General features: G+C 47.1%; 1 long non-coding RNA gene across 2 annotated transcripts in view, besides 1 other annotated feature; it reads left to right on the top strand.

The window, feature by feature from the left end:
- Positions 1-12,632, top strand: part of LINC03036 (long intergenic non-protein coding RNA 3036) — a 245,028-nt gene that overhangs the window by 126,876 nt on the left and 105,520 nt on the right. The gene's annotated exons all lie outside the window — the stretch shown is intronic.
- Positions 6,786-7,394: an enhancer, noted in NCBI's record as "H3K27ac hESC enhancer chr10:120654814-120655422 (GRCh37/hg19 assembly coordinates)". NCBI's record gives its function as "activates a minimal SCP1, AML or CMV promoter by ChIP-STARR-seq in naive H9 embryonic stem cells {active_cell/tissue: H9 hESC(naive)}" and the evidence as "EXISTENCE:reporter gene assay evidence [ECO:0000049][PMID:30033119]".

The raw sequence follows: 12,632 nt of genomic DNA, 5'->3' as shown, positions 1-12,632 counted from the left end.
TAATTTTTGTATTTTTAGTGGAGACGGGGTTTCACCATGTTGGTCAGGCTGGTCTCGAACTCCTGACCTCGTGATCCACCTGTCTCGGCCTCCCAAAATGTTCGGATTACAGGCATGAGCCACCGCGCCTGGCCTCCCTGACATTATTTATAAAAAGGGAAATGTTTATGTTTGTTCATTGTTTGTTTTGGTGAGAAGAACGTCTGAGCGAGTTTGAAGTGCTATTTACAGAAACTGAATTCAGCTGGTGCTGCTCAGAACTGCCTTGCAGTCTGCAGGTTGGTTAAAAGGTTTATCATTAATATTGCATTGTTATTTCAGGTTCAGAAATCTTTAACCCCTCTCCCCTCAAAACACCCCTCAAATCCACCACTAAATTGTGGGCAGCACGATATTGATTTAAAAGAACAGCATGAAATCATTCATCAGGCATCAGTCCCAGAAAATCGGAGTCGTTGATTCCTAAGTCATTTAATAGCTAATTACATGCTGCATAATGTAAAAATGCATCAAGGGTCCATTAAGAATAAATCCAATTGTTTGCAAGGCGCATTATAGAAATTCAGGTTGGCATTCTTCCACTTTCAGTGACTGTGTATTGAGGCTTTTGGCAAATGAAAGATCCGGAAATAGAACCACTGTTTTTATAACAACCCTGTTACACTTAATGCCCATTTTCTCCCTTTAAGTGCAGCAAAGTATGGAAATATTGCCATGCTCTTTGGGGGAAATTTTCCTACTGTGATTTTTATTTTTATTTTTTTTTCTGCTGTTAAAAGCCCCAAGAGAGTGCATTTACTACCTACTTATTTGCTACCGTCAAAAGATAGCAAAATTCATGAAAAAACTCAACTGTCAATCCCCAACAAATATGCAATTATTTCAGCCTGGTGTTTTAAGCAAAAATGGCTTTCATGGCAGAAACTTGCTTCTATTTTCTGAAAAGGGGTGGGGGAATGTTCTTGCTTCTAGCTGTTCTGGTTTCTCTGAGGATCTCACAGAAACACCTGTTCTAACACACAGAAGTGAATTTCCACTAGCAGGGCCCTGACATCTGGCTGAATTAAACGCTGGTTTGGTGCCCTTTTGTGTATGCCTTGGTGAGTGGGGAGCGGAAAGTCATTTTTCTTCCAGCCTCACAAAGCCAATCTTTCCAGGGCATTACACCAGGATGCTGGACAGCAAATGACGGAAGGGCTTGGAAGGGAGGAGAAAATAGATGATCTTGTCCGCATAATAATACAGGGAAGATGTATAAAGGAAAGTAAGTGGTAATGCTCTTGAAAGATAAACAATTGACTGCCTGTCACAAGTAATTGATGACTGAGATCCTGAAGAATGTGGCCATGATAAAAAATACATATAGAAGAGTACACATTCCACATTCTCCTGACATCTCGTTGCTTTCTTCTTTGCAGGAATCTTTGCAAGATCAAATTAGAAGTATTATTTGCTGAAAGGCAATATTCTCCACTCTAGGCTTGTGAGAGCCGAGCTCCTTGTCTCCCAGGGAGCTTTGGTTTGACTTTCATCTTGATATTGAATTTAAGCCTCATATTTTATGATAAATGTATGTAGCCCTCAGCCTGCCTGATAATAACAACTGCACCTACCATGGACGTTCTATTCAGAAGAAGGACTGGGAGTGGTCTCGTCTGATTACTGGAATCTGTTGCTAATTAACTAAAATCTCCCTCTTGTTTGAGCAGTCCTTCGTGGGATTCTTCCTAAAGCACATCTGCTTGCTTTGCTGTCTTGCCTAAGTAAAGAACACCATTGTGAACAGAATTGAATTCCTGGAGGCAGGCGGCTTCCCGTGGTTCTGCATGGCCTACAGGGCAATGCTAAGACCAGCAGGTGGAAGCCACAGGGATCTTAATATCAGTTCACTGGGGGAAGAACTTTCTACCATGGAGAGTTCTCTGAGAATGGAAATGCTAGACTGCCTTGGGAGGTGGGTAATGAGTCCCCTGTTTTTAGGGGAAACTGTCGGTGGAGCTGGGTGAACCCATGGAAGGGCGTCCTTACCAGTTCGCATCACCGAATCAGACAACGTTTAAATTTAATGACACTGGCCGGGTGCAGTGGCTCACGCCTATAATCCCAGCACTTTGGGAGGATCACTTGATGCCAGGAGTTCAAGACCAGTCTGGACAACATAGTGAGACCCCATCTCTACAAAAAAGACAACATTAAAAAACACTTAGCTGGCTGTGGTATGTGCCTTTAGTCGTTGCTACTTAGGAGGGTGAGGTGGGAGGATGGCTTGAGCCCAGGAGTTCAACGCTGCAGTAAGCCATGATCATGTCACTACACTCCAACTGGGGTGACAGAGGGAGACACCTGTCACACGCATCTGTGTTAAGAGACCACCAAACAGGATTTGTGTGAGCAACAAGGCTGTTTATTTCACCTGGGTACAGGTGGGCTGAGTCTGAAAAGAGAGTCAGTGAAGGGAGATAGGGGTGGGGCCGTTTTATAGGATTTGGGTGGGTAGTGGAAAATTACAGTCAAAGGGGGTTTTTCTCTTATGGGCAGGTGCAGGGGTCACAAGGTGCTCAATGGGGGAGGTTCTGAGCCAGGAGAAGGAATTTCACAAGGTTAATTGCTCAGTTAAGGTGGGGCAGGAACAAATCACAATGGTGGAATGTCATCAGTTAAGGCAGGAACAGGCCATTTTCACTTCTTCTGTGATTCTTCAGTTACTTCAGGCCATCTGGATATATATGTGCAGGTCACAGGGGATATGATGGCTTAGCTTGGGCTCAGAGGCCTGACATTCCTGTCTTCTTATATTAATAAGAAAAATAAAATGAAATAGTGGTAAAGTGTTGGGGCGGCGAAAATTTTTGGGGGTGGTATGGAGAGATAATGGGCGATGTTTCTCAGGGCTGCTTCAAGTGGGATTGGGGTGGTGTAGGAACCTAGAGTGGGAAAGATTATGCTGAAGGAAGATTTTGCAGTAAGGTTGTTAGAAGGGGCATTTGTCATATAGAGTGATTGGTGATGGCCTGGATGTAGTTTTGTATGAATTGAAAAACTAAATGGAAGACACAAGGTCCGAATAAGAGAAGGAGAAAAACAGGTATTAAAGAAATAAGAATTGGGAGGACCCAGGACATCTAATTAGGGAGTGCCCAAGGAGGTTCAGCATAATTACTTGCCTGGTTGACAAGTTTTTAGGCTCTATCCAAGATTTTGGGGTGCAGTTCAAGTTGCGCTGGTGTCTGGAATGAGACTGGGGCCCAGTAAAAAGGAGTGTCCGTACAGGAGCTTAAATGGGCTTTACCCTGTAGCATCTTGAGGACAGGCTCTAATTCTGAGAAGGGCAAGAAGTATAAGTACTGTCCAGTCCTTTTTAAGTTGGAGGCTGAGCTTGATGAGGTATTTCTTTAAAAGACCATGAGTCCGTTCTACCTTTCCTGAAGATTGAGGATGTTAAGGGGTACAAAGGTTCCACTGAATACCAAGAGCCTGAGAAACTGCTTGGCTGATTTGGCTAATAAAGGCTGGTCCGTTATCAGACTGTATAGAGGTGGGAAGGCCAAACCAGGGAATTATTTCTGACAGAAGGGAAGAAATGACTGCGGTGGCCTTCTCAGACCCTGTGGGAAAGGCCTCTACCCATCCAGTGAAAGTGTCTACCTAGACCAAGAGGTATTTTAGTTTCCTGACTCGGGGCATGTGAGTAAAGCCAATTTGCCAGTCCTGGGCAGGGCAACTCCCTGAGCTTGATGTGTAGGGAAGGGAAGGGGCCTGAACAATCCCTGAGGAGTAGTAGAATAGCAGATGGAACACTGAGAAGTGATTTCCTTAAGGATAGATTTCCATGATGGGAAAGGAAATGAGAGGTTCTAAGAGGCCGGCTAGCGGCTTGTAACCTACGTGGAAGAGGTTATGAAATGACAATAGAATAGAGTGGGCCTGTGAGGCTGGAAGGAGATATTTTTCTTGGTCCAAGAACCATTTGCCTTGTGTGGGAAGAGATTGATAGGTGGAAGTTTCAGTGGGAGAGTAGGTGGGAGTGACCAATGAGAAGGAGAAAAACTGGCTGTGAGGGACAGAAGTTGGAATGCTAGCTGCTTCTTTAGCTACCTTATCAGCATAAGCATTGCCCTGAGTGATGGGATCTGATGCCTTTTGGTGGCTCTTGCAGTGTATGACTTCAGCTTCCTTTGGAAGTAAAGCGGCCTTGAGAAGAGCTTTTATTAAAGAAGCATTAATGATGGAGGACCCTTTCATAGTGAGGAAACCTCTTTCAGCCCATATAACAGCATGGTGGTGCAGGATATGGAAGTCATATTTAGAATCAGTATAAATATTGACACGTAATTCCTTTGCAAGAGTGAGGGCTCGAGTTAAGGCAATGAATTCGGCTTGCTGAGAGGTAGTGGAGGTGGGTAGAGTGGTAGCCTCAATGATAGTTGTGGAAGATACTATAGCATAGCCTGCCTTTGCTGGTGTGTGGCGATTAGGCCTGGTGGAACTGCCATCAACAAACCAGGCGTGATCAGGGTGAGGAACAGGAAAGAAGGAAATACGGGGAAATGGAGTGAATGAGATACAGTCATGGGGGTCAGGTGTGGTATCAGGAATAATGTAGGAGGCTAGATTGAAGTCCAGGCCAGGAACAATGGTAACTGTGGGAGACTCCACAAAGAGTGAGTACAGCTGAAGGAGCCAGGGGGCAGAAAGTATATGTGTCAGGTGTGTGGAAGAAAATAGATTTTGGAAGTTATGAGAACTGTAGAGAGTGAGTTGAGCATAGTTTGTGATTTTGAGGGCCTCTAAAAGTATTAGGGCGGCGGCGGCTGCCACACAGAGACATGATGGCCAGCCTAAAGCAGTAAGGTCAAGTTATTTGGACAAAAGGCCTACAGGGCGTGGTCCGGCTCTTGTGTAAGAATTTTGACTGCACAGCCCTGCTCTTCAGCTGTGTGTAATGAAAAAGGGTTGGAACAGAAAGAGGAGTGGGGAAAGGATTTAGGATCTATGGGGTCAGCTAGGTTTCCTTTTGTGAGTTTATATAACGGTTTTGTTAGGATGGCAAAACCAGGTATCTGAAGGTGAAAGTATCCAACCATGCCCAGGAAGGAAAGGAGTTGTCGTTTTGTGGAAGGGGTTGAGGTTTGAGAGATCAGTCGGACATGATCGGCAGGGAGAGCACGTGTGTTTTCATGAAGAATTATGCTGAGATAGGTAATGGATGAGGAAGAAATTTGGGCTTTGCTGAGACCAGCTCAGTTGGGGAGACCCTAACCCAGTGGTGCTAGAGGAATTAAAGACACACACACAGAAATATAGAGGTGTGAAGTGGGAAATCAGGGGTCTCACAGCCTTCAGAGCTGAGAGCCCGGAACAGAGATTTACCCACGTATTTATTAACAGCAAACCAGTCATTAGCATTGTTTCTATAGATATTAAATTAACTAAAAGTATCCCTTATGGGAAACGAAGGGATGGGCTGAATTAAAGGAATAGGTTGGGCTAGTTAACTGCAGTAGGAGCATGTTCTTAAGGCACAGACCGCTCATGCTATTGTTTGTAGCTTAAGAATGGCTTTAAGTGGTTTTCTGCCCTGGGTGGGCCAGGTGTTCCTTGCCCTTAATCCTGTAAAACCACAACCTTCCAGCGTGGGTGTTATGGCCATCATGAACATGTCACAGTGCTGCAGAGATTTTGTTTATGGCCAGTTTTGGGGCCAGTTTATGGCCAGATTTTGGGGGGCTTGTTCCCAACAGAGCTTGACTGAAGTAATGGGGGCTGTCTGTGAAGCCTTGTGGCAGTATACCCCAGGTAAGTTGCTGAGGCTGATGGGTGTCAGGGTCAGTCCAAGTGAAAGCAAAGAGAGGCTGGAATGAAGGGTGCAAAGGAATAGTAAAGAAACCATGTTTGAGATCCAGAACAGAATAATGGGTTATGGAGGGGTTGTGGAGGGAGTTATTGGGATAGGAGAGTATATGGGTTTGGCACCACAGGTTGGATAGGCAAGACAATTTGGTCGATAAGGAGCAGATCCTGAACTAACCTGTAAAGGCTTGTCTGGTTTTTGGACAGGTAAAATGGGGGAACTGTAAGGAGAGTTTATAGGCTTTAAAAGGCCATGCTGTAACAGGCGAGTGATAACAGGCTTTAATCCTTTTAAAGCATGCTGTGGGATGGGATATTGGCATTGAGTGGGGTAAGGGTGATTAGGTTTTATTTTTATTTTTTTAATTTTTTTTTTATTTTTTAGTTGAAGGCTTTATTTTTTTATTTATTTTTTTTCTTTTTCTTTTTTTTTTTTAATTGATCATTCTTGGGTGTTTCTCGCAGAGGGGGATTTGGCAGGGTCATAGGACAATAGTGGAGGGAAGGTCAGCAGATAAACAAGTGAACAAAGGTCTCTGGTTTTCCTAGGCAGAGGACCCTGCGGCCTTCCGCAGTGTTTGTGTCCCTGGGTACTTGAGATTAGGGAGTGGTGATGACTCTTAACGAGCATGCTGCCTTCAAGCATCTGTTTAATGAAGCACATCTTGCACCGCCCTTAACCCATTTAACCCTGAGTGGACACAGCACATGTTTCAGAGAGCACAGGGTTGGGGGCAAGGTCATAGATCAACAGCATCCCAAGGAAGAAGAATCTTTCTTAGTACAGAACAAAATGGAGTCTCCTATGTCTACTTCTTTCTACACAGACACAGCAATGATCTGATTTCTCTATCTTTTCCCCACATTTCCCCCTTTTCTATTCCATCGTCATCATGGCCCGTTCTCAATGAGCTGTTGGGTACACCTCCCAGACGGGGTGGCGGCCGGGCAGAGGGGCTCCTCACTTCCCAGAAGGGGTGGCTGGGCAGAGGCGCCCCCTACCTCCCGGACGGGGCAGCGGCCGGGCGGAGGCGCCCCCCACCTCCCTCCCGGACGGGGCGGCTGACTGGGTGGGGGCTGCCCCCCACCTCCCTCCCGGACGGGGCGGCTGCCGGGCAGAGACGCTCCTCACTTCCCAGACGGGGCGGCTGCCGGGCGGAGGGGCTCCTCACTTCTCAGACAGGGCGGCTGCCAGGCGGAGGGGCTCCTCACTTCTCAGACGGGGTGGCCGGGCAGAGACGCTTCTCACCTCCCAGACGGGGTTGCGGCTGGGCAGAGGCACTCCTCACATCCCAGACGGGGCGGCGGGGCAGAGGCGCGCCCCACATCTCAGATGATGGGCGGCCAGGCAGAGACGCTCCTCACTTCCTAGACGGGATGGCAGCCGGGAAGAGGCGCTCCTCACTTCCCAGATTGGGCAGCCGGGCAGAGGGGCTCCTCACATCCCAGACGATGGGTGGCCAGGCAGAGACGCTCCTCACTTCCCAGACGGGGTGGCGGCTGGGCAGAGGCTGCAATCTCGGCACTTTGGGAGGCCAAGGCAGGCGGCTGGGAGGTGGAGGTTGTAGCTAGCCGAGATCACGCCACTGCACTCCAGCCTGGGCAACATTGAGCACTGAGTGAACGAGACTCCGTCTGCAATCCCGGCACCTCCGGAGGCCGAGGCTGGTGGATCACTCGTGGTTAGGAGCTGGAGACCAGCCCGGCCAACACAGCGAAACCCCGTCTCCACCAAAAAAATACGAAAAACAGGCGTGGCGGCGCGCGCCTGCAATCGCAGGCACTCGGCAGGCTGAGGCGGGAGAGTCAGGCAGGGAGTTTGCAGTGAGCCGAGATGGCAGCAGTACAGTCCAGCTTTGGCTCGGCATCAGAGGGAGACCGTGGGGAGACGGAGAGGGAGAGGGAGAGGGAGACGGAGAGGGAGAGGGAGGGGTGATTAGGTTTTAATGGGATGGTAAGGGGTGCATGAACAGTCACCAAGGAGGGAGTAGAGGTGTCCTATACTTGTGGATTAAGGTGGGGAGATACAAGGGGAGGATGTGAAGGAGGCTTTGGGTTGGGAAGAAGGGTGGCAATGAGATGTGGCTGTAGTCCAGGAATAATCAGGGAAGCAGATAATTTGGTTAAAATGTCTCACCCTAATAAGGGAACTGGGCAGGTGGGGATAACTAAAAAAGAGTGCATAAAAGAATGTTGTCCAAGTTGGCACCAGAGTGGGGGAGTTTTAAGGGGTTTTGAAGCTTGGCCGTCAATACCCACAACAGTTATGGGGGCAAGGGAAACAGGCCCTTGAAGGTAATGAGTGGGTAGCCCCTGTATCCGTTAAACAGAGGACGGACTTACCCTCTTCTGTAAGAGTTACCTGAAGCTCGGTGTCTGAGATGGTCCAAGGGGCTTCCGAGGCAATCGGGCAGTGTCAGTCTTCAGCTGCTAAGCCGAGGAGATCTGGGAAGGAGTCGGCCAAGGAACACTGGGTTTGGGCTCCAGGGGCTTTAGGAGCAGCAGTGATGTGAGTCAGGCAGTCCGACCTCCAGTGGGGGCCCACACAGACAGGGCATGGCTTAGGAGAAATCCCGGGCTGCAGGCATTCTGAGGTCCAGTGGCCAGGCTTTTGGCATTTGAAGCAAGGTCCACAAGGATGTTTTGAAGGAGCCCCTGGGAGCTGTGGCTTGGATGTTCTGAAGTTCTTGTATGCTGGAGACATGGTTGTGTGTTGTCTTACAGTGGAGGCAAGTAGCTGTAACTCAGAAATGCATTGCTGTCTGGCTACCTCCTCTCTATTATTGTACACCTTGAAGGCGAGGTTGATTAATTCCTGTTGTGGGGTTTGAGGGCCAGATTCCAATTTTTGAAGCTTTTTTCTAATGTCGGGAGCTGACTGGGTGATAAAATGCATATTGAGAATAAGATGGCCTTCTGGCCTTTCTGGGTCTAGGGTGGTAAATGTCTAAGGGTTGTTGCCAAATGGGCCATGAACTGGGTTAAGTTTTTATATTTGATGAAGAAGAGCCTAAATGCTAACTGATCTGGGAGAGGTCGGATAAAGAAAAAGGAGCATTAACCTTGGCTATAGCTTCAGTTCCAGCCACGTCTTTAAGAAGAAATTGTTGGGGCAGGTGGGGGAGGGCTAGTCGCAGAAAGAAACTGTAAGCTAGATGGTGTGTGAGGCGGGGGTGATAAAAGGATTATGTCTTTTTAAAAAACTTTTTTAAAATTGGTGACACCAGTGATGACCTGCCCATATCCCCTCCACCCTTAGCATGTTAGTGTAAGAAGACCTGACCTTCAACCATCAGCACCTGAAGGCATTTTTGTGGCATTCAGATCACTCTGCTTGCCTTACTGTCCATGCTGGAAATGGTGGGGAATGAATGTCCCCTACTCATCTGGCCATCAATCAGTAACCAGTGGGTACTCCAGCCCTCTCACCTCTCAGACCCACTTACTCTGTGTTTGTGTCTACACTCCCTTCTTGAGTTTTCCTGGGGGGATTAAGCTCCAGTTGCCTGTAGTAACTGGCTTGATTAAAGCACCGTTTATTGAATGATATAGTTTGGCTGTGTCCCCACCCAAATCTTGAATTGTAGCTCCCATAATCCCCAGGTGTCATGGAAGGGATCCCGTGGGAGGTGATTGAATCATGGAGGTGGGTCTTTCCTATGCTGTTCTTGTGATAGTGAATAAGTCTCAAGACATCTGATGGTTTTATAAAGGGGAGTTTCCGTGCATAAACCCCTCTTGCCTGCTGCCATGTAAGATGTGCCTTTTGCCTTCCGCCATGATGGTGAGGTCTCTTCAGCCACGTGGAACTGTGAGTCCATTAAACCTCTTTTTCTTTATAAATTACCCAGACTCGGGTATGTCTTTATCAGCAGTGTGAGAACAGATTAATATATTGAATTAGGGCTGGGGTGCCTCTCCTTCTCTGCCTCACATCTCCACACTTCTACATGTTTGTTCTTAACCTCCCAAATAAACTGCATCTCCTTATCTCATGATCTGCTCCTAGAGGAGCCCCCATTAAGACAGTGACCATCTTCTCCAAACAACAAAGGGGTCCATGGCCTGACAATGGGTCATATTTGAAATCCAGGCTGGGGATCAGGGTCCAGAGCTCCAAGGCACCATAATGGGAGGGGCCTTTTCTGCCCCAATGAGAACAGAGATAATTCTCTGATAATATCATCCCTGCTATTCCCACACCCTTTGCTGTCACAGCAGAGTCCCATTAGCCCCACTAACTACTTGCTGCTGGCTGCCCTCTGTCAACATGCCTGTGTTCTAAAGGCAGGGCTCCCCAAGACCTGGGCCACGGGGTGGTACTGGTCTGTGGCCTGTTAGGAACTGGGCTACACAGTGGGAGGTGAGTGGCAGATGAGTGAGTGAAATTTCATCTGTATTTACAGCCACTCCCCATTGCTTGCAATACTGCCTGAGCCCTGCCTCCTGTTGGATCAGCAGTGGCATTAGATTCTCACAGGAGCACAAACCCTATTGTGAACTGCACATGTGAGGGATCTAGGTTGTGGGCTCCTTATGAAAGTCTAATGCCTGATAATCTGTCACTGTCTTTCATCACTCCCAGATGGGATCATCTAGTTGCAGGGAAACAAGTTCAAGGCTCCCACTGATTCTACATTATGGTGAGGTGTATATGGTGAGTTGTACAATGTAATACTAATAGAAATAAAGTACACAATAAATGTAATGCAGTTGAGTCATTCCCAAACCATCACCTCCCCCTGTCCCCGACCCCCCCCACCCCCATCCTGGTCCATAGAAAAACTATCTCCCATGAAACCAGTCCCTGGTGCCAAAAAGGTTGGGAACTGCTGTTCTAAGGGATAATTCATTATTTTCTTTTCTTTTCCTTTCTTTCTTTTACTTCTTTTCTTTTCTTTCTTTCTGTCTTGCCCTCTTGCTCTCTTTCCCTCCCTCCCTCCCTCCCTCCCTTCCTTCCTTCCTTCCGTCTCTTTTTTCTCTTTCTTCTGTTTCTCCTCTTCCTCTTTCCCTTCCCCTTCCCCTTTCCCTTTCCCTTCCCTTCCTTCCTTCCTTTCTTTTCTCACTCTGTTGCCCAGGCTGGAATGCAGTGGTACAATCATAGCTCACTGCAGTCCCCATCTCCTGGGCACAAGTGATCCTCCCACCTCAGGCCTCTGAGTAGCTAGGACTACAGGCATGTGCCACCATGGCTGGCTAATATTTTTTTAAGTTATTTTCAGTAGAGATGAGGTCTTGCTATGTTTCCCAGGCTGGTCTTGAACTCCTGAACTCAAGCAATCTTCCCACCTCAGCCTCCCAAAGTGCTGGGATTGCAGATGTGAGCCACCATGCCTGGCCTCTAGCTTTGTTTCTTGTGACCCATGTCCACCTTGTACACCCATTGCTTCAGAACAGAAGGTCCCCTATTTGGTACCACAATTATTCCAGGTGTCTTTGGCCAAATTCCTACTCCTGGACATTGCTGAGGATGGCCTCTGCCCACCCAGGCTATCCCTTGTCTATTCCCAAGACAGCTGTGAGTTCTGTCCAGCCCTTGTTTTGCTAGCTGGGGATGGTATTGAGGAGACTGCAAGGCCAAAGAGGCACCATTCTGAATATTGAATTTTACTGTGGACTCGGAGGTAGAACCATTAGGAGATTGGGATGAATGGATCCTGGCCCCAACTGGATCTGAATGCATTTAGATGCCATCGTGCCTGCCTCATTAAGAGTCCAGGGCATGAGTCTTGGAACTCTGGTTAATTGAAGGTGGTTAGAATTCTCAAGTCCTAAGTTTGAGAGTATTTCCACATTTATAAATATGGGTAATGCCTCTTTCTGAGTGTTTCCATAGAATGAACAGCCCCAAGTCAGTTTCTTGTTCAAGGACTAGGGGAGAAATACTGGAATCAAATCCTGTAACTCAACCGTAAATGCCATGCTATTAAGCTGCAGATAGCTTTCAGGGCCTCACGACTAACCTGTTCTGTGGCACTTTTCTGGCTGTTTCTGCCTTCTCTCTAGGGTACCCGAAGTGAGGCTCCTCTAGCTGCAGTGCATCAGAATGGGAGGACCAAACTTTTGGTCTCATCTTAAGTCTTTAAAACCCATTTAAAGAGTGTATAACCCTTTAAATGATGTTAAATGTTCCACCTTATTCTAGGCTGGAAGAAACTTGATTTTGCCTAGTAACTAGTCTTTCCAATATTATTTGCCTTGTTTGTTCCAGTAAATCTCATCTATAGCATGGACTTAAGACATCAAACTCTGTTCTACTGAGGAAGGACCCTTTTATTTCCACTAGTTAAGACAAGGGTTTCCTTAGGCTTCAATCATCTGCTAGAAATGCCCAGTAGGATGATTATTTTAAACCTGTAAAAACAGCACAGTATTAAAATGAATATTAAAGGACATTTTTCTAAAATCTCCTTGACCTTGCCCCTTCCCAACTCTTTCAATTTTGGGGTGTTCCCTGTTGGTCGTTGTTTTGTCTGGCAGGCCCTCTGCCAGACTGGGTATTTGCTCTTCACATTGTAGAAGAAACATTTTTTTTTTTTTTTTCATTTTTCTACAGAGACTTCATGGTGAACCATTTAATGGCTGTAAAATCTCAGTGTGCTGATTTGCCAAACCAATCCCTTATTATTGGTAATCAGAAGGGTTTCCAATCTTGAGTGATTTTAGTGAACATCTTCACAAAGAAAGCTTTTTGGGGGCTGGATGCAGTGGCTCGTACCTGTAATCCCAGCACTTTGGGAGGCTAAAGTGGGAGGACTACTTGAGTCCAGTAGTTTGAGAAT

Source organism: Homo sapiens, chromosome 10, assembly GCF_000001405.40.
Source record: "Homo sapiens chromosome 10, GRCh38.p14 Primary Assembly".
NCBI lineage: Eukaryota > Metazoa > Chordata > Mammalia > Primates > Hominidae > Homo > Homo sapiens.
This window is presented reverse-complemented; position numbering and strand designations above follow the sequence as displayed.